This window comes from Homo sapiens, chromosome 3 (genome assembly GCF_000001405.40).
Source record: "Homo sapiens chromosome 3, GRCh38.p14 Primary Assembly".
Taxonomy (NCBI): domain Eukaryota; kingdom Metazoa; phylum Chordata; class Mammalia; order Primates; family Hominidae; genus Homo; species Homo sapiens.
The window spans coordinates 8,827,998-8,834,723 of record NC_000003.12 but is presented as its reverse complement, the minus strand read 5'-3'; positions in this window follow the sequence as shown (position 1 = coordinate 8,834,723).

Genomic DNA, 6,726 nt, shown 5'->3' with positions numbered 1-6,726 from the left:
AAATACAAAAATTATCTCGGCATGGTGGCCTGCACCTGGAATCCCAGTTACTCGGGAAGCTGAGGCAGGAACCCAGGAGGCAGATGTTGTAGTGAGCCGAGATCACACCATTGCACTCCAGCCTGGGTAACAGAGCGAGACTCTGTCTCAAAAAAAAAAAAAAAATTATTAAAAAAAATATTTAACACATAGTACAGAGAATTCCCATATACCCTCTCCCTCACACAACACAGTTTTTCCTATAACTAACATCTTGCATTGGTGTGGTACATTTGTTATAACTAATGAACCAATACTGATACATTACTATTAACTAAAGTTCACTATGTATATTAAGGTTCACTCTTCGTGAACCTTAATTTGTATAATTCTATGGGTTTTACCAATGCATAATGTCATGTATTCACCATTATAACATCATGCGGAGTAGTTTTACCATTCTAAAAATCTGTGCATAACCTATCCATACCTTTTCACATCCCCCAAATCTTTGGGAACCAGTGATCTTTTTTTCAGTCTATAGTTTTGCCTTCTTGGGAATGTCATATAGTTGGACTCATACAGTAAGTAGACTTTTCAGATTGGCTTCTTTCACTTAGTAATATGCACTTAAGTTTCCTCCATGTTTTTTTTTGTGTGACTCGATAGTTAATTTGTTTTTATCACTTTTTTATCATTTTTTAATAGTCTATCATTTGGGTTAATATTCCACAGTTTGTTTTTCCATTCACATATTGAAGAACATCTTGTTTGCTTCCACTTTTTGGCAATTATGGGTAAAGCTGCTATAAACATTCATGTGCAGGTTTTTGTGTGGATGTAAGTTCTCATCTCATTTGGGTAAATACCAGGAAGGGTCATTGTGGGGTCGTATGGTAAGAACATGAACACTTTTTTGAGAAACTGCCAAACTGTCTTCCAAAGTGGCTGTACTATTTTTTCATTCCTATCAGCAATGAATGAGACTTCCTGGTACTGTCAGTTTGGGGATTTTAGCCATTATAACATGTGGTAGTGTATCTGATTGCTTTCATTTGAAGTTCTCCAAGAGCATAAAAATTTGAGCATCTTTTTATATGCTTATTTGCCATCTGTATATCTTCACTGATGAATTGTTTGTTTAGATCTTTCTCTACTTTAAAATTGGGTTGTTTTCTTATTGTTGAGTTCAAGAGTTCTTTCTATATTTTGAATAGAAGTCTTTTATCTGATATATCTTTTGCAATTCTTTTATTTCCCCAGTCTGTGGCTTGTCTTTTCATTCACTTAACAGCAGCTTTTATAAAGCAGAAGTTTTTAATTTTAATGAATTCCTACTTACAGATTTTTCTCCATAGATCTTACTTTTGATGTTGTATCTAAAACCCCATCATCAAGCTTAGATTTTCTCCTATGTTATCTTTTAGAAATTTTATAGTTTTGCATTTTATGTTTAGGTTTATGATTCATTTTGGGTTAAGTTTTGTGCAGGGCATAGGTCTGCATTTAGATTTACTTTTTTTTTATATTTGCATAGGGATGTCCAGCTGTTCCAGCACTGTTTATTGAAACGTTATCCTTTCTTCATTAGAATTGCCTTTGCTCCTTTGTCAAAGATCAGTTGACTCTGTTTGTGTGGGTCTATTCCTTGGCTCTCTATTCTGTCGCATTGATCTATTTTTCTATTTTTTTTTTCCACCAAATACTACACTTTTTCTTTTCTTTTCTTTTTTTTTTTCTTGAGACAAGGTCTGTCTCTGTCACCCAGGCTGAATGCAGTGGCATAATCTCAGCTCACTGCAATCTCTACCTCCCAGACGTAAACCATCCTCCCACCTCAGCCTCCCAAGTAGCTGGGACTACAGGCATGCACCACCACACCTGGCTAATTTTTGTAGAGACGGAGTTTCACCATATTGCCCAGGCTGTTCTCAAACTCAAGCAATCTGCCAGCCTCTGCCTCCCAAAGTTCTGGGATTATAGGCGTGAGTCACTGCACCCAGCCCGCGCTGTCTTGATTACTGTATCTCTATACTAAATCTTGAAGCCAGGCCATGTCAGTCCTCTCCTTCTCCTTCAACGTTGTGTTGGCTATTTTGGGTCTTGAGCTTTTCCATATAAACTTTAGAATCCAGTTTGTCAGTGCCCACAATATACCTTGCCAGGATTTTGATTGGGAATGCATTGAATCTATAGATTAATTTGGAAGAATTGGCATTGCTGAGCACTTTTTGATTTATTTGCCATTTGGGTGTTCTTTTTTTGGGGTGCTGTGACATACCTATTCCAACCTCTTGACCATTTTAATTTTTCTTATTGATTTGTATACATTCTTTGTATATTCTGCAAAAGAGTCGTTTGTTCTTATATATGTTACAAATATCTTCTTTCATTCTGTGGTTTGCCTTTTCAGTCTTCTGAATAATGTCTTTTGAAAAATAGAAGTTCTTAATTTAAGCTTTGTTCAATTCATCTTCCCGATTATATTTCATGACCTGGTCAAGATCCCAAGATTACAAATAAATTCTCCCTGTTATCTTCTAGAGTCGAGGTCTGCAAACTTTCACTGAAAAGGGTAAGATAGTAAATATTTTAGGCTTTGTGGGTCATATGATCTCTCTCACAACTTCTCAACTCTGCCATTGTAGTGTAAAAGTAGCCATAAACAACAAGTGAATGAATGGGTATGCGTGTATTCCAATAAAACTTTATTTATCAAAACATCCGGTGGGCCATAGTTTGCTGAACCCTGTTTTAGATTGCTGCTCTCCAATATAACTTTCTGTGATGATGGAAAGGTTCTGTGTGTGTGGTAGCTAAGAGCCACATGTGGCTATTGTGTACTTGAAATGTCACTAGTGCAACTGAGAAACTGCGCAACTTTTAACTGAGAAAATTTTAATTGTATTTAGTTTTGATTAATCTAAAAACTTAAATAGCTACATATGACTAGTGGCTACTATATAGGATAGTGCAGTTCTAGAAGCTTATTGCTTTATCTTTTCTTTAGAGCTATCATCCACTTGGAATTGATTTTCATGGATGGTGGGAAGTAGGGAATAGGTGGCTATCCAGTTTACCCAAAACCATTTAATTTAAACACTGTCTTTTCCCCATAGCTCATCGGTGCCACCTTTGTCCCATATTAAGTATCTTACATGACTCATTATCTATGTGTATTTATCTATCCTTGCACCAATATCATAGTGTCTTAAATACTGAAGCTCAATCATGAGGAAGACTGGATGTCTGGTAGATTTAATCCTCCATTTTTTTTTCTTCTTCAAGAATATCTTAGCATTTTAAAATTGTTTTCATTTACATATAAATTTTATAATTAGCTTGTCAGTTTCCACACACACACACACACACACACACACACACACACACACACACACACATGCACCCCTGCTTGAATTTTTATTGGAATTACATTGAACTTATAGATCAAATTGAAGAAATTAAATGCCATAGAAAAATGCCATAGATATTGGATATATCTATAGCAGTTAATTTTCTAATCCATGTACTTGATATAACAAATCTCCTTTAATTAATTAATTAATTAGTTAATTGCTTTTTGAGACAGGGTCTTGCTCTGTTGTGGTGCAGAGTCATGATCACGGCTCGCTTGCAGCCTTGACCTGGGCCCAAGCGATCCTCCCACCTCAGCCTCCAGAGTAGTTGGGACTACAGGCATGTGCCACCATGCTCTGTCAATTTTTATTTTTATTTTTTTTTTGTAGAGATAATGTCTCACTATGTTGCCCAGGCTGGTCTCAAACTCCTGGGCTCAAAGATTCTCCTGCCTTTGCCTCCTAAACTGCTGGGATTATGGGTGTAAGCCACTGCATCTGGTCAGTCTTCTTTAATTTCTGTCAATAACATTTTATAGTTTTTAGTGCAGACATCTTCTGTATCTTTCTGTAGATTTATTCTTAGGTATTAAATACTTTTTGATGCTATTGTAAGTGATAGCTTTAAAAATATTTTCTAATTGTTTGTGGCTGCTATATAAATACACACTTGATTTTGACTGTTGACCCATGTCCAAACCTTGCTCAATTGACTATTAATGGTAATCGTAATAGTTTATGCATAAAAATATATAATTTTTATATGTTTTTTCTTTTCTTTCTTTTTTTTTTGGAAACAGGGTCTCATTATGTTGTCTAGGCTGGAGTGCAGTTGTCTAGGCTGGAACCTCTGCCTCCCAGGTTCCAGCGATTCTTGTGCCTCAGCCTCCTGAGTAGCTGGGACTACAGGCATGTGCCACCATGCCTGGCTAATTTTTTTTTTTTTTTGTATTTTTAGTAGAGATGGGGTCTCGCCGTGTTGCCCAGGCTGGTCTCAATCTCCTGAGCTCAGGCAATCCACCTGCCTTGGCCTCCCAAAGTGCTAGGATTATAGTCATGAGCTACTGCACCTGGCCCATTGATATTTCTTTTATCCTGTTTTTTTCCTTCTCTGTATTTCCTTTTGTTGCATTGGCAAGAACCCCCAGCGAATGTTGAACAGAAGTGGTGATAGATAGCAGAGCCAACACTCTTATTTCACGTTCAGTCTCAGAGGGGAAACTTTCATCATGTTTGTTCCAGGTTACCCTCTATCAGTACATTTTAACTTATTGCTTTTCTAGCATTAACCAAACTTGCATTGCTGTAGCACCCAACTTGATTGTGTAGCATTTTTCCTGATTCTTACTATTCTCACTGGATTAATTTTGCTAATACTTTGACTGTGATTTTGCATCTATATTAATAAACAAGATTGGCCTGTAATTTTCCTTTCTCATATCTTTGTTGATTTTGGACTCAAAGTGATGCAGGTCCCATAAAACTAGCTAGGAAGAATTTCTTCTTTTCCTGTTTTCTGGTAGAGTTCTTGTAATATCTGGCATTATTTCTTTCTTTAGTATTTGGCATAATTTACTCATAATTTTAGGATTCTTCAGAATTTCTACTTCATCTTGAGTCAGCTTTTATAAGTTATATTTTTCTGTACTGTGTCCATTTTATCTAAGTTTTGAAATTTATTGTGATAAAGTTATTAATACTATCTTTATGATTCTCAAGTGTCTGATGAATCTGTAGTGATGATCACTTTCATGTTCTCTAAATTATCTACTTATGTATTCTCTCTTTTCCTTAATTAGTTTCTCTGGGTTTTTCTTCAAAGAACCAACTTTGGCCTGTTGATTTTCTATATTGTGCATTTGTTTTCTAATTTATTAAGTTCTTCTCTTATCTTATTTTCTTCCTTCTACTTTGCATTTAATTTTTTACGTATTTATTGAAGTGTAGTATACCATAAAGATAAAAAGGCACAAATAGTAAGTATACAATTAATGCATTTTCAGAAAATGAACATATCTACTTAAGAAATAGAACTTAACAATACAAGCCCCTCATTATTCTCTGCAGCCATTGACCCCTTTCTGTCTGGAAGATAACCACTATCCTGCCTTCTAATACTATAGATTAGTTTTACCTATTTTTGAAACTTATACAAACGCAATCATGTAGGTATTCATTTGTGTCTTGCTTCTTTCCCTGAACATTATTTTTATGAGATTAGCCCATTATGTTGTACATAGCTAATATTTATTTTAATTCTGCAAAGAATGCCATTGTGTAAATATAACATAATTGGTTTGTGTCTTCTATTATTGATGGACATTTAGGTTGATTCCAGTTTGAGGATATTATGCATAATGCTGCTATGAACATTGTTGTACACACTTTTTGAGTGCACAAATGTACACAGTACTATTGGGTACATAGCTAGGAGTAGAATTGCTGGATCCTAGGGTATACGTGTGTTCACTGCCAAATGGTTTTCCAGAATGGGTGTAAAAACCTTTCCTTAGTAGCAGTATATGAGTGTTCATTTCTCCATGTCCTTGGCCAATACTTGGTATTGTCAATCTTTAATTTTAACCATTCTGGTGGGAGAATAATGGTACCTCATTATAGTTTTAGTTAGCTTTATTTTAATGACTAATGAGATAGAGCATCTTTTCATATGTTTATCGGACATTTGGATATCTTCTTTTGTGAAGTTCAAGTCCATTGCCTATTTTTCCCCCGATGGGTTGTCTGTTTCTCGTGATTTGTATAGGTTCTTTATACACTTTAGATAAGAGTCTTCTAATTTTTATATGAGTTGGAAATATCTTCTGCTCTTGCCCTTTTCTTCCCTTTTTGGTGATTTTTGAACAGAAAATTTTAATTTTAATATAGTTTACTCGATGAATCTTTTTCTTCATTGTTGATGCTTTTGGTGTCCTTTTTCATCAATCTTTACCTATCCTGAGGTCAAACATATATTTCCTGTGTTATCGTCTAAAAGCCTTTTTGCTTTACCTTTCCCATTTTGATCTACAGATGACCTTCAACTTAGGATGGGGCTACATCTTGATAAACCCATCCTAAGTTGAAAATATAAGTAAAAAATGCATTTAATACATCTAACTTACTGGACATCATAGCCTAGCCTAGCCTACCTTAAATGTGCTCAGAACACTTACATTAGCCCACAGTTGGGAAAAAATCATTTAACACAAAGCCTACTTTGTGTTGAATATCTATTTGTTTTGTTGAATATCTCATGTCATTTATTAAACACTGTACTGAAAGTGAAAAACAGAATGGTTGCATGGGTACTCAAAGTATACAATTTCTACTGAATACGTGCCACTCTCACACCATTGTAAAGTCAGAAAATCCTAACTCAAACCAGACCCAC